The sequence below is a fragment of the Homo sapiens genome, chromosome 3 (assembly GCF_000001405.40).
Source record: "Homo sapiens chromosome 3, GRCh38.p14 Primary Assembly".
Classification (NCBI taxonomy): Eukaryota; Metazoa; Chordata; class Mammalia; order Primates; family Hominidae; genus Homo; species Homo sapiens.
In genome coordinates, this window is record NC_000003.12 from 63949756 (window position 1) to 63972199 (window position 22444).

A 22444-nucleotide genomic window follows, 5' to 3' on the forward strand; every position below is an offset into this window, starting at 1 on the left:
CCACAGAGGGGGTGTGTGTGTGCATGCTTTTTAGAGAGATTCAGTGTGCTCATGAGAAATTAAGAACCGAGTTTTCCGGTCACACAAACCAGAGTCCTGGTTATGCCGCTTTCTTGCTGAGTGATATTAAATAAGTTTGTTTCTCCATAAGTAAAATGGGGATTATTATGTAGGGTTATTATTAGAAATAAATGGGAAAAACCATGTAAGAACTGCTTGGCATAGGACCTGGCACATAGTAGTCTCTCAGTAAATGTCAGCTGGTTATCATTATAGTCATCATCAGTTGCAATTGATCTTAAGTTATTGAGGAAATAGAAATTTTTACAGAAGTATAGATTCTTGGTTCCTTACAGGATAACCCCTATCTTTTTAGTTTTACTAGTCCTAAGTCTCAGAAAAGGATCAAAGGAACCAGGGCAAAAAAGAATAATTTTGTACATGATAAACATCATGTGACAAATTGAATCCTTATTATTTGAAAGGATCAGTTTAGGTTTTTATTTCTCTTAATTGCTTTATTTTTAAAGGGGTAGAGGGTTAGTCCACAGAAGAATCTGGTATCTGGCAAAGTGATCTATTTTAAGCAACAGTGCTTTACATTCAGAACTGAGGGAAATCACAGAGACCACCAGCAGCACATTGCAGAGACCTAAAACTAAACTAACACTGTTTATTTAATACTGTTTTAACTGCTATCTAATAATAAAACTAATTGAGTTGATTTCATTAATGAAATTGTTCATTTGATATCTATCTCACACTCTTCAGTTGTAAATTATGAATGTTATACCAGTTCTGTAATTTAGATGTATCAGAGGCATTTAGCACAGAAGCATATGGAACTTACGGTAAATGACTTTAAATTTTATTTTTCAGAATGAAATGTCATGTCAAGAAACTGTAATCTTGGAAAGTGACTTATTACATGTATATCATTGCATAGATATAACCTTTCCCCTTCTCCCACATGTACTATATTTAACTCAATGTGGGCAGGCTTTCAGGGAAAATAGCATATTGTTTGGCTCTTATTTTTTATTAAATAAGCGTAGTCACAGAAGTCTGTAGTCTACTGGAAGCTTCTTATCTAATCAGTTTATACCATCAAAGATGGTCAGCCCTGACATTCCAATTTATTGACATTGGAATCTGGAAGGACTCTCTAGATATCATTATTCCTCTGGTCTTCAAGAGGTAAGAAATCCAAGCCACATTATAAGTCAGAATTGAATTCCAGCTATTGACCTTAGACAAAGTACTTTACCTCTCTGTGAGTCAGTTTTCTCTTCTTTAGAGGGGGGATATAATGATGTCTACCTAGGTAGTTGTGAGGATAAAAATGAAATAATAGCTTGTAGAAACTACTCGGTGCTGCAAGTACATCCCCAAATCGTGCTAGACTCTAGTATATTTCGGATTATAGCTAGCTATCTGTGCAATTCAGTGTAATAGAAACTGTTTAAGAAAATTCAAGCCATAGCCATGTGTAGATACTAGATCAGTAATTTGATATTTTAGAGATTATCCTCACTTGACATCTCCTTAAGGAATTTTCTTCTCCCTTTAAAACCACCAGGATCTCCCCGGCTGGAGAAAGTGTGAAATTAAATCTTCATAGGAAAGAAAGTAGATGCTAATCAGCTTTTTGGATCTTCCCCCTTGTCCTTTAAACTTGGTATTTGATCTACTAAAACTTTTGCTTAAATTGAAGTGTGCTAATTATCCATTCATTGCAGATATTCTAAAGAGTGAATGTAGTGTAAAATGCTGTTTAAAATCCACTGATTTTGAAATACTTAAAAAGTTAGATTCTGGATCTGAACTTTTAGCTCTGTTCCCCAAATTGTTGTTCATAATTAATTGAATGGTTGAGATGTTTTAGTTAACCATATTTACCAGGTATCAAGTTACTTTCAGTTTTCATGTATATGCAGACAGTTTAGTTTTACTTTTGCATTTAATTAAGTTGCTGTCTTACTGTTAAAACAAACAAACAGCTCGTATCCTACCCTATTTTGGTAACCAAACTGATTAATATATGAAATGCTGTTTGTACTAAAGTTCATTCTGCCTTTCTGGTGGCATTAGTATGTAAGCAAAAGGACTAGAGGTTGCTATGACTTGGAAAAAATATATTAAAATAATTTTCTTTATATGACATGCTGGCAAACCAGCAGTTCTATTCCTCTGTCTCTGCTCCCTTTCTTAATTGTTCCATAGAACTCAGGAACCAGAGAGCTGGAATAGAATGCACAGTTAAACAAAAGCATTAGATGGTACAGCTTTGTGAACTAAGCAGTTTACATGGTTGCAGATTCTTTCCCTTAACTCTTGGTAGAGTTCATCTAATGTTGCTTTATTGTGCAAATATATTCATTGTTTGCATTTTAAAAGATTGTTTCACCACATCATAATTATTTTTGGTGCACTTTAACCCTTTTTAAAGTGTGTCTGTAAGCCTGATTTGATTTCTCTGTTTAATAGTGGTGGTGTACCACATCAGTTCATTTGTCCTGGTATACTTTACAATAAGGCAACTCCTTTAGAAAGTAGTTTCCCAAAATGGTTTTATATCAGTCAGAACCAGATGAGTGAGTGATGCTCTGTTTCTGTGTTGCAGACATGCCAATATTTGGTTTCTGTCCAGCCCATGATGATTTCTACTTGGTGGTGTGTAACGACTGTAATCAGGTTGTCAAACCGCAGGCATTTCAATCACATTATGGTAAGTGCTTAACCATTTAAAAAATTGTTAATAGAAGGTAAAAGGTAAAGCAAGATTAAACTAAGGAACAGTGATGGCATGCATGGGACATAATGTCCCTCCCCCACCAGGAAGTAGGCTTTTTAATTCACTCAGTGGGTTAATAACTATCAGATGTTGGGTATTTTTAAATTTTTATTAAAAGTGATAGGAATTTTTTGACTTTTATTGAAATTAGAGAAAGTATAGTTTATAAAATGTCTCTTAAAATGTTGCATCAGTATAATTACAAGTTTGTTTCCTTCTGGAGCCCCTGGTTGTGAATTCAGTGGATTTTAAAATTATATACACTCACAATATGGATGCATGGGCCTTTTTTTTTTTTTTTTTTTTTTTTTTTTTTTAAGGAAATGTGATTTTGAAACTTCTCTGTTCAATAGTTCTAAATATTGGGTGTTAATTGTTGAAGAATCCAAATACAGTTAGTTGGCATTGTCATAATGCCTTTAAAGTGTTTAAGATTCTGATTCTAAAACTTGGTTTTCTGCCCAGTTTGGCTCAATAGCAAATCATAAGTATTTGAATACGTACCTTGTTTCAGGCATTGAGTATGTAGTATGATTCTTACCGCCACAGAGTTTACAGTCGAATTGGAGAGGCAGGCAAAACTAACTAGATATACTTTAAAAATAACTATAAGTTTTTTCCTCATTGCTCTTACTACTACAAATGCAAGCTTGCAATAGAGTAACATTGGGGTTCTTCTATAGATAGAGTGTTTAAAGAAAGCATCTTAGGAGGTGACACTGGAGCTGAGTCCTAAGTGATGAGAAGGAGCAACTCGGGCAGCAATCTAGAATAAGAGCGTTTGATGCAGAGGGAACAGCCAGCACACAGAAGGCCCGTGTGGCTGAAGGGTATTTAGTATTTAGAGAAGGGAGGTAGAAACTGGAGGAATCCAGCATTATAAGCAGGAACCTGATATTCATAGGCCAGGCTAAGAAGCAGCTTGGGAGCACTGGAGGATTTATGTAAGAGAGTAACACAGTCCTATTTCAGTGGTTGATTTGCTGAGAAAAATTTCTGGGAGAAGGACAGAAGTAGGGGGAATAGTTCAGAGGCAAGAGATGACACCGGACTGAGAGTAAGATCTGGCAGTAGAGCTAGGAAGACTGCATAGCTTTGAGATACTTCTTTTTTTTTTTTTTTTGAGACGGCCTCTCTGTCATCCACGTTGGAGTGCAGTGGTGCGATCTCGGCTCACTGCAACCTCCGCCTCCCAGATTCAAGCAATTCCCTTGCTTCAGTCTCCTGAGTAGCTGGGACTACAGGCACCCGCCACCACCATCTAATTTTTGTATTTTTAGTAGAGACAGGGTTTCACCATGTTGGCCAGGCTGGTCTCGAACTCCTGACCTCAAGTGATCCGCCCACCTCTGCCTCCCAAAGTGCTAGGATTACAGGCATGAGCCACGCGCTCAGCCAAGAGACGTTTTAAAGTTAGAATTTACAGATCTTGGCTGTCGAGACTGCTGTTGTTGGGTTAAGAGTCACACCATCATAAGCAACATTCCACCATTTTTTCAAGGAATAATAAATCCTTTATTTAACCATAAAAAGATTCTTTGAGTTCCTGCTTCTAGGAGAAGCCCTAGGGTAGGCACTAGAGTGGGTACAGAGGTGGATAAGATGTCATTTCCCTGCTTCTGAGTTGTGGACAATACAGACAATATTTTGGAAAAATCACTTGTAATGCACTAAAGATGGGAGGTGTTTTACTGGGGATAGACAGAGCTGCCACATATGGCTGCACAGTTTGTGCACTGAACAACCATATTTGGTGGCCCCGGATTGGCAACAAGGTTGACGTGAGCAAGCACAGGAGCAGGAAATTCCAGGCTCTCTGGGATGTGCTGCACGAGTCACCATTGGCCAGAACTGATGTACCCACCTGTGGATGAGTGGAGTGCAAAGGCAGGCTGGGACTAGCTCACAGGGCCTCAGTGCCAATCGGAGTTCCCTGCTCTGGACGTGTTGGTGAGGACCTGTTGCAGATTTTTTAGAACCAGAGTGATGTGACTTAGTGGTGCCCCAGAGAATTGATGGGTAGAGTGGATTCCTTAGGCAGAAAGAAGACCTATTCTAGGAGCATTTACTCACTGGTTACAGTATACTTATTTTTTTTTTAATCTTCTCATTTCCCTCTTAGAATATCAGTGTACGGGTAGGAAAAAGTGTTTTTTTTTTTGTTTTTTTTTTTTTTTGAGACGGAGTCTCGCTCTGTCACCCAAGCTGGAGTGTAGTGGCGCCATCTCGGCTCACTGCAACCTCTGCCTCCTGGGTTCAAGCAATTCTCCTGCCTCAGCCTCCCGAGTAGCTGGGATTACAGGTGCATGCCACTATGCCCGGCTAATTTTTGTATTTTTATTAGAAATGGCGTTTCACCATGTTGGCCAGGCTGGTCTGGAACTCCTGACCTCAAGTGATTTGCCTGCCTCCCCTTCCCAAAGTACAGGGAATATAGGCATGAGCCACCAAGCCCGGCCAGGAAAATATCTTAAAATCACATTTTTCTGTCTTTCTCCTTTCCTGCCTTTCAGTCCCTAGCACGGTATCTCCTAATAAGATACTTGTTGAATGACAAAGCGTTGGTGATAACTTCAAACATGTAAATGGGAAAGTGTGAATTCAAGATTCATTTACTCCAAGGTCTCCTGTGGCTTGGCAGGAGATGTGACTGACAAAGCCACTAGGTAGGAGGGCTGAGGTCCCTCTAGTGACAAGGGAAATATTAAAGATATGAGAGAGGAGAGTTCCTGGCAGAAAGATGAGGGCCAAGTGCTCTGAGAGAGGGATTCTGCTGGGAAATGTGTAAGGAATGCCCTCTTTGAATCAGCAGTGGAGATGGCTGCTGGTGGAATTGACAAGAGGTTTAGAGGTGGATGGGGGTTTGGGAGAGTAACTGCATGAAGTAGAGGGAGGCACCATGTGGTGGCCCTGGAGTGACACCCCACTTACTTGGAGGGAAGGAGAGGTGGGCAGGGTTCCCAGGACCAACAACCTTTCCCAGTGCTGCCACAGTGTCGTCTATCTTTTGGGGACAGGGGTTGTGACAGGAAAGATTATTTTTGGTACATTTTCTTTTTTGTTGAAATTTTTAGAAAGCCAGTTGTTGCATTATTGTTTTCCACAGTTAACAAAACACAGTTTTCAAATTCAGAATCTTTCACAGTGACTGTTGTAGTCTATTTACGTGCCAAAAGAGGGATGGTATTTTCTTTCAGTGATATTGGTGAAAATGTGTCGGCAGTCTTCTGTGAATTCATGTATTGCTGATATCCATCTGTGACTTTTATGAACAAATGAATAGTTCCTACCAACTCCAGCAGGCAGTTCCGTTAAAACCACTGCTACCAGGACAAGAAAACATGCTACCGTGGCAGCAAGTCTTGTAAAATCAGTCAGTGTTGGTGGTAAAACTATTCTGAATTGGTGAGCAGCTTATTATTCGGAGTAGTTAAGAAGCCCTGTACTTTTTTGCTAGCCAAGCTGCAGTTTTAGGAGTTAACAATTAACCAGGATTTCCATTTGAGCAATGATGGTGAATGATTGTGCTGCCATTTTGGCATTTCCAGTTTTTTCAGTCTGATTGCTCTCACAGCATAGTTTGCTTTCTTGGAAACTACATAGTAATACCATGATTTCTTGATGTTGTTTTAATGTTTTAAAATACTCCAGTGTGCCTCATATTTCTCTTCAGTTACTTAGTATTTTTAAGAATAAGGTGTGAAACCCCGTCTGTACTAAAAATACAAAAAATAAGCCAGGCGTGGTGGCGTGCGCTCCCACTTGGGAGGCTGAGGCAGGAGAATGGCGTGAACGCTGGAGGTGGAGCTTGCAGTGAGCCGAGATAGCACCACTGCACTGGAGCCTGGGTGACGGAGCGAGACTGCATCTCAAAAAAAAAAAAAAAAAAAAAAAAAAGAGTAAGGTGTTTCTTACTGCTAATTTCAGATTTAAAAATATAATTCGAATCAGTGGATCCCAAACCTGCTGTGCATCTGAATCAAAGAGGAGCTTTCTAAGTGAGCAGCTTCCCAAGGCCCACTCCAGATGCTCTGAGTGGGAATTTCCAGAGATAGAACCCAGGAATCTGCATTCTAAACAGCTCCCTGGGCTGATTCTGACACACTGGCTGGCTGGAATGCATTGCTTTCACAGATGCAGATACAGTCCACTCTGGTGGAGCTGCTGCTTGGTACATACAGTGGGAGACATACAATGACTGACAAGAGATTGGTGCTCAGAGATTCGTTGAGCCAACCAGAATGGCAGGAAGGGAGGCCCCTACTTTTTAAAGTATGTGTATTATGTGCTGCAAATGTCACATTAATTGCCAGAGAACTTTTAAGTAGGAAGCAGCGTTGAGATGGTGACGTTCCGAAAGTCAGAAGCCCCATTCTTTTGAGGTGGGAATCTTAAGTTCTTCAGTTAGTTTAGTGATAAGTGTGTTGGTCCTATACTGGCTACTGAATAGCATAAACTGTGTAGTACTACTTACATGCATTTACTCTGGATCTGAATGGTGGGATTAGCACAGGGTTAGCAGATGACTTGTGGGGTGTTTTTGAGGCTGTATACTGAGAGCTTCCCAGGAATTCCTATTTTGTGCTCTGCAGCTTCACTGAGTTTGCTTATGAAGAATACCTTAATGTTTCTCTTTTATGCAGACACAGGGGTGATATTACCTAGGAGAAATAGATGAATGATGTTTATTCAGCTTGGACAAGTACCACATTTAGAATCTCTGTGATTAATTGAAACCCTACTCAGATGTTGGCTGTTTAAGTATTTGCTTCAGATTAGTTAGGCTGATCCATTTGTTCACCTTTGGGCTCAGCTTGAGTCTCTAAGCAGGTTGGAGCAGCCACTTTTTCCCAACCTTAATCAAGTGCTGGTTTTATCATCTGCTGACTTAATTCCACTTAGTATTTTTCTTTAAATCAGACCACTTTTATTTAAATAAATCAATTTACAAGGAAAATCTTAGTAGAACAATAAAGGGGGAAACTAGTGTTGTCTGCTATAAGAAGTAGTAAATGTGAAAATGAATACTGTGAAAAGAAAATTATTTAATTTTATGTTGATGCTTTTGCCAGTGCTGGCTCTGAGCCTGAGGCTTGCTCTCTGTTAAAATGGAGACTAGCACATTTTAGGCAAGTGTTGTCCACACAGTAGTGTGATATTATCAGGAAAATGGAAAGAGATTGGAAAGGGAGTAAGTTTTCACTTGTCATTTGATGTTATTAATATTAGAGAGTGATACCTACTCCATATTGTTGGGAAATACCAGCTCAAGTTCTTGAATTTTGTTAAATCAGATGTTTAAAGAGCTATCTACTGAGGCCAGCCTTAGCCCTAGGAAATAACAGACCTTGAAAACAGAATTTTAGAATCTCATGTTGATCTGTAAGAAGACCACGTAAGACAAATACCCTTTGTCACCTATCGATAATGTTATATATTGAGCCACTACTGATCACTGTGAATGGTATTTGAGTCTGTTGGTGAGGCTTCAGTGTAAAACATCTGCATTTCTCTCAGACTGTTCACAAACGGAAGTGTCAAAATTTGGCTTTTTCATGACTTTATGAACGTAGTTTTAGTAGAAACACTCCTGTGATCTTACAGCTTTCTCTCCTTGCACATATTACAAATCCTGTAAAATTAACAGCCACACACATTGCTTGGACTTAATGTTCCTTGATATGCATTGAGGTGGTTTGGATTCTTTTAGATGCTATCATAAATTATATTTTCTGAAACGTCATTTTCATCAGGATGAACAAATTACTTATATATTCATATGAGAAATTACTCATACTTTTTTGAGCTAAGTAATTGGTTTCAAAGAATGTTAGTACTATAAGAGAAAAATGAATTTTTTCTCTGAGATCTGATGGACTGGTTCTGGCAAAAATGCTGGTTCTCATTGTTGACAACATTTCTCATAGTTCTGACCAGCAATTGCCATCGTATAATTATCTTGCATCACAAAGCAAAGGTTTTACCATTTAATACAGAACACTTCCCTCCCCTTTTGCTCTCTGATTAACTTAGACCTGGAAAGTAACAGGTTCAGATAGTTTTTAACATGTCATTTTATTTAGCTCATAACTGTTTTTGATAAAGAAAGAAAATGTTTTTTTTCTCTTAAGTATGCTAAATTTAAGTCCACTGACTAATGATAACTTTTAATAGTACCTGGTGATTTACAGAGAATTTTTGCATGTATTATCTTATTTCCTGTTCTTAACAATCCACTGAATAGATTTTATGCTTAGTTTACAGATCAAAGTCGTAAATTAAATTTCATTCACACAGATAAAATATACCAACCAGACCATCTTTTCTACCTACTAACATTGATTTATTTTGCATGATAAGGATGTATAGAGTAAAAAAAATTCGGAGACAATATGAATTGCATGTGTCACAAAACTATCATTAGTGACAGATGTTCTAGCTGAAGTAGAATTTTAAGTTTGCTTCAAGAAGCTGGATCAGTATTGTAAACCTGTTACCTCAGAACATTTAGTAATTCAAAGATATAATGATGGTAGGTAGATAATTGATTTAGCGTAGTCATTGGATTTCTCTTCTGCCTGTTCTACTTTATTTAATTCTAAATCATAGTCGCTATCTAAAGCCAAACTCCTCCTCTTTTTGTATGAGACTCGTAGCATTTTGTAGCTTCTTTAGAGAATTGGCTGACATGTTTATTTCTGCAGTCAGTATAAAGACTGAAACTTGTTGCAGAGCAAAAAAAAATTACCTCACTCTTTTGCTTGGAAGACTTGTACCAGGTCTTTCTCCAGCAGTCGGGGGATGAGCCAGGGATGGGAGCTAACCAAAACAGGCACATGAAAACATGAATGATGTCAAGGTGGACATTAGTTTAACTCTGGAAGGAAATTCCAGGTTGGCCTTTTGCCCTAAACTTCTTGTCATTAAGTAACCATTTTTGGATAAAGAAAGAAAATGTTTTTTATTTCACTTGTCATTTATTGTTATTAATATTAGAGAGTGATAGCGTGACATACAGTGTATTCATTTTTTTCTCTGCTACAAGTGAAAAAATGCTAATTAAATTTTTCAGATAACTTAAGTAGCATTAGATAAAGGTTTATTCTCTCTCAGCTAATATAAATTTATCTTTTTTCCTTAGTTGTATTATAAGCAAATATCTTTAAAATAAAGTTATGTCATTTGTAGGAGCAACATTTTAATTTCTAGATATAAAATGTACTTATTTTTCCTCTTACTGATATCTGTGCTTTTATGAATGTCTGTGCCTTTGGGGCTGCTTTAGAAAGGAATTAAACTAGCAATGGTATTATTCATGCATTTAACAAAATTTACTGGTGCCTAATATATGCTAGGCATTGCCCTCCACTGAGGTAGGAAAACAGTGTCTATGATTTCATGCACCTTATATTCTGACTTAATACAATACATTGTATTAAGGAGGAGAGAGAAAAATGAAATTGTGTGAAATCAGATTGTTTCAGGTAGTGATAAATGCTAGGAATAATGTGAGAGAAAATGACTGGGGCAGACCACTTTAGGTAAGGCTAGTTAAAGAAAGCCTGTCTCTGGAGTTGATGTTTAAACTCAGTGATGAAAGAGAGCCAGCCCATTTGAAGATGTAGAGGACAAGTGCTTCACATAGAGGAAATAGCAAGTGCAGAGGTCCTTAGATGGAAGTGGTCTTGGCAGAAAGGCCAGTGAGGAGGCCTAAGGACAGTGTGCAAGGAGGAAAGGGGTCCAAGTTGAAACTGGAGAAAGTGGGTCCAGGACCAGATGACACTGGGCCCTGCAAGCCATGAGAAGAATCAGGATTGGACGGCGCAGGCAATGGGAAGTCGCTGGAGGGTTTTGGCCAGGAAGTGTTATGATCACGTGGTTGCTGTATGGAACACGGGGCAAATGTGGAACCAGGGAGACCAGTTAGTGAGCTGTTTTATACTAGTTAAGGTGAGAGCTGGATCAGGAGAGAAAGCTTAGATTAGGATTGTAGCAGCAGGGGCAGAGAAGTGTGAACAGAATTAAAATCTGCATCGGAAATATAAAGCCAGCAGGGCTTGCTGATGGACTGGGAAAGGAAGGGAGGAGGAATGACTCATGGGGTTTTTGGCTCAAGCAGCTGGATGAATTTACTTGAGCTTATGGATCAGGAGGTTGTTCTTTCAGTTTGTATATGGGCATTTATTTTTAATGAGGTGCACTGACCTGAATAAAAAGTGTTGATGTATTATATTAAGTCTTTAGGCATTTTCTAAAGATTATAGAAGAAAATAATTATTGCAGTGATGCCAAGTTGGGGGTGGGGGGTCATTTTTTCTTTTCAGTTTTTTAATGTTTCTGTAATCTAGTCATACAAGCCAGGAAACAAAAGATACTGTGTGCACTTTCCTGGGACTTCTCATGTATTCATTGGGTAATTGTGAAAATTTATTGACTAACAAAAACCACTGCCTTTCAATTTGTTTTTAATTATTAAAATAAAATACATTGTAAAAGAAATTAAACAACCAGAGGATAAGTATGCAATCAGACTGAAGAAAGCTCCTTCATCTTACTTTTCAGGGGTACAGTTTGACATGTACTCTTGGAGGGTTCCTAGAACCTGGACAAAGTAATATTTACCAATGTATTTTTTCCCCTCACATAAAAAAAAGTAGATTCAGTGTGAATTTACATTTTTAACTTAATAATCTATCTAAAATATTTTTTCATGTTAATACATATTGTTCTGCTATAATCTTTTTAAGGACTGCCTGTTATTCCACTTTATTAATGTATTTTCACTTAACCTGACTCCTGTTGATGGACACTTAGATCTTCAGTGTTGCATTACTGTATACAGTGCTCTAAGGACCGTCCTTCTTTGGGAATGTCTGTCAGTATTTTAGCATATTGATTCTCCGCATGGAACCTGGTCACAGTGCCCTCCAGGTTTGTACTACTGTGATTTGATGAACTACTTCAGCAGTTCTGATTTGGGTTGCCACAATAATAAGGCAGTGAAAATGTGAGTTTCTGGCAATATCTATCTTTATATATATATAAATTGTTTATAATGTGTATATGGATCAAAACATTACACTGTACTGTAAATATATAGAACTTTTATTTGTCATTTATACCTTAATAAAGTAGAGGAAAAAACAGTTGGAAATTTTTTTTAAAAAGGCTTAATAAAAATTAAGTAAGAAATTATTATTTAATATATATATGAATTGTTGATATTCACCAGTGTCACTCTTGACTTGCCTGCTACATGTAGAAATCATTAGCTATTATAGGATTGCCATGCTTCAGCTTTAATGGAGATATTTCGGGATATAAATCCATATTTTATTTATATTTTCTAAAAAGTACTTTTCCTGACAGTCATTTCACAAGACTAATTTGTACGATGACTAAGATAAACACACCTGCGATTTCAACCCCACTAAGCTGTGATCTTACATATGACCAGAAGAGGGAGTTTTTATCACTTCTTAATGCTGTGGTACCTACTACCTGACTGGAATAATTCCTCTGATGTATGTACTAGTCCAAGTCCATAAAACAGACTGGTTTGGGAGGGGCCCAATAGCTAAATTTAGCTATTTCCCTCATCCCACATTTTGTATGTAGAAATCCCACTCTTGAGGTTTACTTCAAAGTAATTTTATACCTTTTCATCTTGTGCATTTGAATGTTAAAAAAGAAGAACAGATAATTATTTCCATTTAAAATAAAATACAAATAGCCCCTGATCACACAATATAGAGTTCTTGGTTTGTATTCTCTTCAGGTCACAAATAAACTTTGGAATGAAATTTGTTTCGTTGCCTCTTATGCTTGATATATTTATTAAAAAGGTCGTTAGAACTTCTGTTTTGTTTTTTTGAGACAGAGTCCCACTGTCTCGCTCAGGATGGAGTACAGTGGTGCAATCTCAGCTCACTGCAGCCTCCATCTCCCAGGTTCAAGTGATTCTCGTGCCTCAGCCTCCCGAGTAACTGGGACTACAGGCATGCACCACCACACCCAGCTAATTTGTGCATTTTTAGTAGAGACAGAATTTCGCCATGTTGGCCAGGCTGGTCTTGAACTCCTGACCTCAAGTCATCTGCCTGCCTCAGCCTCCCAAAGTGCTGGGATTATAGGCGTGAACCACCATGCCTGGCCTACAACTTCTAATACTGAAGATTTGTAGTGAGCTTTAGAGAGTTAAGATGTTATTTTGCCAAAGTGGCTAATAGGCCTTTTTCTGGGTGATTCAACTGTGGTCTGTTGTGCTACTTGAGTCTCAGTCTGCTTAGCCAAACAAATTAAGAGAGTGACAATAATCAAGATACACTTGTTTGATGTAATACCAGAATTTTGTATTTCTTTTTTTTTTTTTTTTTTCTTCTTCAAGACAGATTCTCACTCTCTTGCCCAGGCTAGAGTGCAGTGGCGTGATCTTGGCTCACTGTAACCCCCACCTCCCGGGCTCAAGCAATCCTTCCACCTCAGCCCTTCCAGTACCTGGGACTACAGGCACACGCCACCACACCTAGCTAATTTTTGTATTTTTTGTAGAGGCAGGGTTTCACCATGTTGCCCAGGCTGGTCTCAAACTCCTGGGCTGAAGCAATCCACCTGCCTCTGCCTCCTGAAGTGCTGGGATTACAGGTGTGAACCACCACACTCGGCCAGAATTTTGTATTTAATTTTTCTTAGCTACCTTCACAGTGCATTTTTGTAACACAAATTTTTTAGACCTGTTTCTTTATAGATTTTTTGATTGGCATATGAATATATGAAATATATACACCTATAACGTATTTTTATATAAATACACAAATGTAATCATCTCAACTATTTTCAGTGCAGCCTTTTTCTTATTTCATTGGCTCTTTCAACTTACCTGCCTTCTCTAACTGTAGCAGTCCATGCTACGCTATAAATCATACATGCTGCATTCTTAGTATGTAACTTAATATGCATCCTTGTATATTTTTCTCATGCTTCTAACTCTATCCAGGCACATAGAATCACGTATTTTATTAGTAGGGGCTTTTGGTGATAGTTTTACAAAAAAGTGGATCCTATTATGCACACTTCTGCTCCTTTTCTACTCAACAATACCTCATGTAAATCCATTCACAGCCCTGGATAACACTAATCCCCTCTTTTTAATGGTTGCATACTGCTCTAAAGTGTGGCTGTGCTGTAGCTTCCTCTGCCAGGCCCTCTATGGACATTCATTTTGTTTCTTGCTTTTTGTCTGTGTGAACCAAACAGCAGTACCCACTCTGGTACATACATACTTAATTACTGGTGGTTTAGTTTCTGTGGGATAGAGTCTCAGGAAGGGATTCCTGGGTCACAAAAGACTAGTTATTTGCAGTGTTAATAGCTGCTGCTGGATTGCTTTCCAAAAAGGCTGTAATGCTTTATATCTCTACCAGCCACTATGAGAGTTATCTCCAAAGGAGTAGGTGTTGTATTTATTTTTCTAAGCTTCCATTTAATTTTCTAAAGCCTCTTACAATGTTCCTTAGACACATAAACACACACACACACACACACACACACACACACACACGTATGATTAATTTTAATTTGAAATAAATTCCTCAAACAACCACAAGTCTAGTAATACTTAATAATATGAGACAAAGAGATCTTTCAAAACGAGTGATTATTTTAAAAAATATTTAAACAATTATAGGCAGTTTCTCGGGCGTCTATGGGAAGTTTCTATTCATTCTGTATGGAATTTAAGGAAGAAATCTCATTCTCTTATGCTAGGATTCCCCTGTGCAAAATGTGAGGCCTCCTAGAGGATCATAATTTTGAGTGTGATTAATTGCAAGGCCAAGGAAAAACTATGGCCAGTTTTGTTTCTGATCTCCCTATCCTCTTTGCAGTTGGTATGACTGGTCACCTTATAAAGGTGTTCATTGTGTGTTTCAAATAATGACTGGGCTGAGGTCACGCTGTGGTTAACTCAAAGCCTGTGTAAATCAGGCCATGAAGATATATTTTATTTGCCTGCCTTACACACATGAAGTGTGGCTGAGCCCTGGAGAGCCATCGACCAAAAGATCAGCTGGAGGAAGGCTGCTGCATGGTTTTAGCCCCCAAGGTGAATTATCCCCATTTAAATTTCATCTCCCACCTCTCCTAATCCAGTGTGAGTACCTAATGAGCTCTGGATAATAACATAGCAACATTTCTAGGTGAAGCTAATCTGATTCTGGATAGCAGGCTTCCAGGCCCACAGCCGAATGAATTGCTTGGTATTTCCAAGTTTGAAAATACTTTTTTCCCCTTTCAAGTGCTCCTTGGCAGCAGGTAAGGAATGTTAAAGCTCCTGTAAGTGCCAATTAAGGCCAATTATAACTCACCCGGCCTGCTGAGACAGTGAAGTGGAGTTAGTGGAGACTTGTATTCCTGTAAAATGGAGAACTGGCTTTCACCAATGATAGGAACACAGTATTTCATAACTGCCAACAGCTTGTTTATTGCCCTCCAGAGCACTGAATGACACCTCTGCTGGCTTCTCAAGGATTCAGTTTAGGAAATCCCAAGATTTGTAGGGGACTTGACTAATTTCTATAATAGAAACCTCAGTTTTTCTGTTTCTGTTTAACTCCTCTATCATCCATCCAGTTTCTCCTTGGTTGTAATCATAATAGCTAACATTTGCTGAACGTTTAACAAGTGCTGGGCGTTGCATTACCTGCATTATCTCAAATTTACTCCTCACCCCAGGCTTGTGGGAGGAGGCAGTATCAGTCCTTAGCTCTCCTGAGTCTCTTGCCCACGGCTGCACAACTAGAAGTGCTCAGACTGCAGGCTGGCTGCCCCCTGAACCCAAACCTTGAGTGTTCCTCCTAGCCTCCTGCAAGTTTGCCTGTTTGCTGCGAATAGGCTAATGCACAGTTCAGAACTCCCTTTGTGCACTAGAGTAAAATTGACATGTGTACACCATCCAAACCACAGCTGATACATATAATTTTCGGTCAGTGAGGCACGGATGTTATTCTATTAAGATGTTATTTTAGTCTGTAGTATTTTTTTAGTCTGTAGTCTTAATTTTTTTCTTAGGGAAAAAGAAATATGACCATGTCCCCAGACCTAGACAATTAACGTCTGAGCCATCATTGGGATATTTAATATCAAAATAAACTTTATTTGGATAGGATATCGAGAAACGGTTTGAAGAAAATTGTGATAATGCTTTACAAGCAGAACAAAGCAGTATTTGCTTAAACATTTTATTCAGGGCATTAAGGGGGCACATGTGAGTGTTTAAAATTTTAATCTGAGCTTTGTTCTCAATTTCTGTGTATGTGTACAAAATTAATATTTTCCTGGCATACACGACCATTCATCCCTTTTCTGATGTAGGTCTTAAAAATAAGTTAAAATTCGTTTTTCTCTTGTTTATTTGTGAACTTAAATATAGACGTTTGTTTGTAGCATTTAAGAACATTTGCTAAAATTCACCCTGGTTTTTTACAGGGTTGCAGAACGACTTGATTCTTAGAACTGTCTTGGATTGGCTGACTCTCATAACGATATTTTTCCCCACTGTATTTCGTACAATCACTGTGTACGAAAGGGAATATTAGAAAGGCAAGCATTTGTGCTAGGAAGGCCAGCAAGGACTCTGGTGTTCTGTCATACAAGTACAGTGATAGGGAAGTGAGATTTAGCTCCAGAAAGATCCTCCTACCCTGTTCTTTTCTGCTATTGATGGCATTAAGGAGATTCCTTGGCTACCCCTGCAGGGAGGGCAGGTGAAGTAGGGTGAACAATACTAAGACCTGTGGCAATCAGGTTTTACAGCCATGGAATTTTTTTTTTCTAGCTTAAGAAAAGCTTCAGTGAATTAACTTAAAATTCTTATTTTCGCTTATGAGCTTTTAAAAAGATTTGGGAGATGTATCCTCATCCTGTGCTTCTAAGGCTTGCTGATGGCTCTTCCCTTGCGTTCTTCTAGTGTCTTCTAAGGGCTTCCATAGTTTTGGATTGTATGAACGTTACTGTAAGGAATCTGGGGGAAAAAAAGTGGGTTTCAGAAAACCCCCTGGGTCTTAGTATTGTTGACATGGGTTGGGATCTGAATCCTTGTGAAAATAGGGCAGTGCAGCTACTGTTCTTCTGTTTTAGAGTCAATTTAGAATTTGGTCTAATAGAAGCCGTTTTCATGCCTCTCTCAGAACTCTTCCCCGCACCTTTCAGGCTAAATCATTTCCACATATGTAATTCATGACTTTTGCCAAATATTCTGTATGGGGTGATAGGATTCTGTAGAAGAATCTTTTGCTGCTTCTTTTGACATTTAAAAGAGTTCATTTTGAACTATCAGGTATCTAAGTCATTATTATCATAAAACTCAGATCACTTGGCAGTTTTTTCCATGTCACTTGTGGGGATTTTTTGTTGTTGTTTTGTTTTTATTAGAACTCTGTCACCTGGGCTGGAGTGCGGTGGCACAGTCATAGCTTACTGCAGCCTCAAACTCCTGGACTCTTGCCTCACCCTCCCAGGTAGTTGGGATTACAGGTGTGAGCCATTACACCCCATTCTGTGTCATTTGACAGTAGATTTGTTGATTGGCCAGAGAGAGGGAGTGTGATAGGGATGATAGGGAAACAGGCCAGGAAGACACTGTTTTCAAGGGGGCACTCAGTGAGAGAAATTCTTGGATTTAAAAGTATGAAAGCTTTAGTCAGTCCTCTAGTGATTGAACAACAAACTGGACAAATGTGGATATGAAATTATACATATTTTACAAATATGCACAGAAAGTGGGTTCAGATATTTTGTTACTAGATTTAGGAAGGAAAAGTATGCTTAGGAATAATAAACTTTTTTTGAAAAGCTTAGCAACTGTAGATAGTATAGGGGAAATAAAACCTGGAAAAATGCTGCAGGTATTTTATAGAAATGTTTAACTTTAAGACCTTTAGGTCTACCGAGACTTAAAATGTAGGTTTTTAAATAAATCATGTAAGTTTTGTAATATACCTGGTAGTAGCTTTGTCAGTTTAAAGGTATTCAGAAAAAAAATTCACAAAATATAAGTAATTTGCATTTTAGCAGGTTAAACTTATAAATTCCATCTTCCCCAGTTTTGACAAGTTGCCTTTCCAATAGAAAGATTAATTTACACCAGCCAGGACGCCTTGTATGACCATATTAGATGAAATTAGACTCCACCCCCTGTTTTCTGTTGATCTGCCAGGACCTTTGTAATTCAAGTGCTTTTTACAGTAGTAGCAAATGTTACATAAGCCCAAACATGGAGCATATTTGGAGTTGGTGGGCAGACCCAAATCATGATGCAAGCCTGCAGTAGCAAGTGTGCAATGAAGCACAACCAAATTCTGTGAATGGAAGGTAGCAAGACGCCTCTCCAAAGCAGCCCTTCTGCGCAGGAGCTGAAAGCTCCACTGGGTAAGTTTTCTGAGGCAGTTTTCAGAGTCTGGGCTTGGCTCAGGGCCCAGCTCTGGATGAGCCTGTGGACGGTGGGGTAGGTCTTTGCTAACCTTACATAGAACCAAGCAGATTTGGGAAGAGTTTATGCAGGCCTTTTTCCTCCTGGCATTTGTCTTGCCTTGCCAGCAGGCCAGGAGGGTTCTGCTGCTCAAGTAGTGGAGGGAGGGAGCCTGCAGAGCTAGGGGATCAGCGTGGGTAATCGCAGCCACAGGGATTAGCTGCTGCAAGCTGTCCACAGAAGCCATTCTGAAATGTCATTTGAGTGATCTGGCCAAAGTTCAGATGCAGACGGGAGCCGAGTTTGTTATTAACTCCAACAAAATGCTGAGGTTTGCACCAAACAGTTCCCATATCTCAAAACAGAGAGAGTATTGGTTACATCTCTCTCTAAAAATGGAGGAACGTTGTAACACGCTTTAACTGTTTGTTTTTTATCTTACTTGTGGTAAGTGAGGTTTCATGACAGGCAGTTTGCAGTGTTTCCTGTAGAATGTGTTTGAAAGCTGTTTTGTCAGATACTTCAATTCCACAGCAAAGTTTCAAACAGAACACTGCGTCAAGAGGAAGAACAACTTCAAAATACAAACAGTAACCCTGGGAAGTCATTCAGTAACTTAAATTGAGTGTATAAAAATTTAATTATGGACTGACTGCCAGAAAAGATGATTTTTTTTAGTTGTGTTATTAAGGTAGCCAGCAGAGCTAAGCTGATTCTTGGGTGGATGTGTGGAGGCTGGTCTCAATATTACCTTACCTGTCTCAGACCTTCTGTCTTCATGCGGGAAGTGAGGTGTCAATTGAGTTCTTCAGTTTTCAGGGGATTCAGATTTCATGCCTTGTGTAATAATGAGCTTGACCGGAAGGTTTTAATTGAGGTTGAAATTGAGCTCCCCAGTTGTAGGACTTTAAATATGAAAAGATCTTAAACCTTTAATCAAATTGCTGTTGATTCTCTATAATTGATTTTTCTGAAAACTCTTGTCAGACAGTTTTAGGTTCACTGTTTCTGCTTTCGTTTTTGCATGTCACTTCTGATGTTTTATTAGTTGACAGCCCTGGCATGCAGGTGGAGCAGATACTGTTTCTCTCTTCAGAAAAAATAAATGTGTGTTGCAGACTCATTGAAAACATTGGCATTCCTGGGTAATTAATCACTCATTCCTTATTAAAAGAATGTATAATGAAGGAATCTGTAAGGCTGTGTTCAAAATGTGAGGTTTTTCTTATTTCCATGTTCTGGTCTTCAGGTATTCTGCCCTCCCCCACCCAGAATAAGGTGATATAAAAAGGATATAAAACCAGTGGAAAATGGCAATAAGGATTGTGACTGGCTCAGTGTAGCACTTTTCAGCAGATAGTTTTGTCATTTCGTTGTACCTTGCAGAGTTGCTCTTGTTTGTTGGACTGTGGGAAGATGATGCTCCCTGTTGGGATTCCTACACAGAAATTTCTATTTTAAAAGACAAAACAGAAACAACCAAACAAAAACAAGGCAGCTCCTCTAAATTGAGTTTTACCAGGTTCCTTTTATTCTCTCTCTTTTTATGTTTTTGTAAAAATTGGATTGGAGTGGTTAACGGCATAGTTTTGTTTTGTTTTTTTAATTGTCTTTTAGCATTTTGGTAATAGCCCATATGTTTCATTTGGGAAAACAGTGACCTAGACCAAATTGAGACTATAGAGATACTTGTGTAAAGACTGAGTATGTTTGATGCTTGAACTACAGATAGTATAACAAATTGGAAGGCTATCCTTATAAAGGTAAATTGCTAAAATTCTAAAGTGTTCTTTTCCCTAACACATAGAGGATTGAATCAAAAGTAGCTAGAGACTGGTGGATTTTCGTTTTGGCTCTCTCTTTTCTTCTCACCTGTATACCTGAGGTATAGAAACAGTTCAAGTGAATGATGGTGTAAGAGGGAGAAAGGGGAGTGAAATTTTACAAAATGATGTGCATCACTCAGATAGTGAGGTCAAATAAATCGGCCAGGGTGATTTATTGCTGTACTCTGTCAGCATCATTTGGGTAACACCGTGCTCTCTGAGGATAGCAGAGAGAAGTCCTTATGGCTGTTAGCAAAGTAGAAGTGTCAGCCAGCATGTCATTCATTGTGTGGTATCTGTAGTCAGAAACAGTGACATAAAGATCACAGAGGTGGCATAAACAGTTGGATGGTTGTGTTAACACTCAAAAGCAACAGCATCCTTTTCCCAAAATGTACTTTCCCTAAGTGTTGTGTGTATGCATGTGTTAGAGAGGATGATAATCCTCTGGTCAAAAGTCTGCACCTTGAACAGGGTTGCAGGAGCATAAAAAGGGCGTCCTTCAGGAACTGAACTGATCACTCAGACCACTCAGTTTTATGTAAGACAAGCTGTTTTTTGAAAGACAAAAAAAAAGGGTGTTATACTCATAGCTGAGGTGATCAACTGTTGTGACATTCTGTACCTCCTCTTTTTCCCTATCATTCCGTATTTTTCAATAAAATATTTGGATTTTTTTTAAAGCCCTTTTACAAATGTTTGCAAAAAGCAACAAGTTAGGCAGGGAAGGAGTATCCCCCAGATATTCAATAACTTTTTCATATTTCTCACATACTTGAAAGCAGAGTTTAGAAAGAACAGTCCTTTTGGGAAGAATTCCTGGCAAGAGGATTATTTGAGGTTGCCATATTTCTGCTCCTTTCTTAGCAACATTATTTACAATCCATTCACGCCTGTCCCTTCCCCCACTGGAGTGGAGTCGTTCTCCCTTGTAATCTGCCCTTTGTGATCTGTTCTCTTTCATGCAGCCAGTGTGAATGGGTATGCTGCAGTGCGCGCTCTGCCCAGAGACGTGGAAATGCCAGGAGACCCGAATACTTTAGTGGGGCCTTTATTTATGTCATAAAGCGCTGACTTCAAGAGCTTGATAATTTGATTAGGACCTTTGGTGAAAAGTTGTTTCAAGTGGCCCAAGTGCTATAAATGACTCTCTTTTCTGCACTTTCCCGTTAGGTTTTAATTTAAAAGCACCTCCGCATTAGGGGGAGGAGAGATGCCTTTGGCAGAGGTAGCAGTTGGAGACTAATTTGTTAGGGCAGCCAGTGTTGAAATCATCCTTTTCAGTTAAATCTCTCTAGTGGAAATGATGCCGAGTGCTTTGTGGCAAGGACTTTTTCTTTCTCAGTGTTTTCCAGTGCCATTTGTAACCCACCTAAGCATGCTCTGGAGTTGCCTCCCAGCCCCAATTTTGGCTAATTGTCCTTTGAGGCACTGCATGTCAGAGGTCAGTTCTGAATTCCCCAACTTGAGATTTGAATGTTCCAGGGACAGTCCCACCGACTTGCTTCCTTTTAAGCAATTAGACTACACTCAGCTCTCTCTGGAATAGTTTCATCAAGTGCCTGGGGAACATAAAGAAATTGGATCAAAGATAAAGCAGATTTAGGAATAAAAAGGACCTGGGACTACAAAGAGTGGATGGAGTAGGACCATGTTTGCTTGTCAGGCCATATGTGAGTGCTTTTAAGAAGAATAAGAAAATTTAGAGGGAAAAGTTGACAACAATGAAAGTAGTGAGGAAATATTAAATGCTCGATGTTCATGTGTAGTCCATGGTGTGATTTTCAATGGTATGCCAAATATTTTTTAATATTCGTGAGAAAAAATATATACATATATATATAAAAAACTCCTACATCAAATACAAAGTCATTCTTTCAGAGATATTATTGCTTAGGATAATGCTAAATTAGTCCCTAGTCAGCCACTGAATTTTAAAAAATATATTAAGTAAATAATGGTCTAGATATTGTGCAGATTTGGAAAAGGATCCAAAATATGGTTTAGTTGTGAATAACAAAAGTTTAGGGAAAACACTAGTCTGGAGCAAAGTAGATGTGTAAGAAAAAAGTGCTGAGTTTTTTTTGTTTTTGTTTTTGTTTTTGTTTTATGCAGTCTTTATTTCTAGTTTGCCTCAGGTCCTGCTCTTGGATGTTTTCTTAAGGAGTTATAATCCTTGTGAAAGACACATGATGCCAATTGACACCTCACGAGTTGTGTTTGGTGGCCTGGAAATGGATTATGACAGTTTGGATTAATTGGGAGCTGTATAATAGCAAGCTGCAGTTATTTTTCAACCTGGACATAAAAATAAACAATAAATAATTTTGTGAAGGGACAGCTTAATGAATGACCTGA

At 38.6% G+C, this 22444-nt stretch overlaps 1 protein-coding gene across 5 annotated transcripts in view, besides 6 other annotated features; it reads left to right on the top strand.

The window, feature by feature from the left end:
- ATXN7 (ataxin 7) overlaps positions 1 to 22444 on the top strand; it is a 140319-nt gene that overhangs the window by 86612 nt on the left and 31263 nt on the right. For 4 of the 5 annotated variants that reach the window (NM_001377405.1, NM_000333.4, NM_001177387.1 and 1 more), the window contains one exon: positions 2624 to 2728. In NM_001377405.1, coding sequence (NP_001364334.1) covers positions 2624 to 2728 — 105 coding nt within the window. Of the gene's footprint in view, positions 1 to 2623; positions 2729 to 18038; positions 18221 to 22444 lie in introns of those variants that run through there. The other variant, NM_001128149.3, reaches the window with a different exon arrangement.
- Positions 10658 to 11157: an enhancer, noted in NCBI's record as "H3K27ac hESC enhancer chr3:63946089-63946588 (GRCh37/hg19 assembly coordinates)". NCBI's record gives its function as "activates a minimal SCP1, AML or CMV promoter by ChIP-STARR-seq in primed H9 embryonic stem cells {active_cell/tissue: H9 hESC(primed)}" and the evidence as "EXISTENCE:reporter gene assay evidence [ECO:0000049][PMID:30033119]".
- Positions 14785 to 15289: an enhancer, noted in NCBI's record as "NANOG hESC enhancer chr3:63950216-63950720 (GRCh37/hg19 assembly coordinates)". NCBI's record gives its function as "activates a minimal SCP1, AML or CMV promoter by ChIP-STARR-seq in naive H9 embryonic stem cells {active_cell/tissue: H9 hESC(naive)}" and the evidence as "EXISTENCE:reporter gene assay evidence [ECO:0000049][PMID:30033119]".
- Positions 18558 to 18777: an enhancer, noted in NCBI's record as "active region_20033". NCBI's record gives its function as "activates an Ori minimal core promoter by ATAC-STARR-seq in GM12878 lymphoblastoid cells {active_cell/tissue: GM12878}" and the evidence as "EXISTENCE:reporter gene assay evidence [ECO:0000049][PMID:35858748]".
- Positions 19218 to 19297: an enhancer, noted in NCBI's record as "active region_20034". NCBI's record gives its function as "activates an Ori minimal core promoter by ATAC-STARR-seq in GM12878 lymphoblastoid cells {active_cell/tissue: GM12878}" and the evidence as "EXISTENCE:reporter gene assay evidence [ECO:0000049][PMID:35858748]".
- Positions 19308 to 19367: an enhancer, noted in NCBI's record as "active region_20035". NCBI's record gives its function as "activates an Ori minimal core promoter by ATAC-STARR-seq in GM12878 lymphoblastoid cells {active_cell/tissue: GM12878}" and the evidence as "EXISTENCE:reporter gene assay evidence [ECO:0000049][PMID:35858748]".
- Positions 20722 to 21373: an enhancer, noted in NCBI's record as "OCT4-NANOG hESC enhancer chr3:63956153-63956804 (GRCh37/hg19 assembly coordinates)". NCBI's record gives its function as "activates a minimal SCP1, AML or CMV promoter by ChIP-STARR-seq in naive H9 embryonic stem cells {active_cell/tissue: H9 hESC(naive)}" and the evidence as "EXISTENCE:reporter gene assay evidence [ECO:0000049][PMID:30033119]".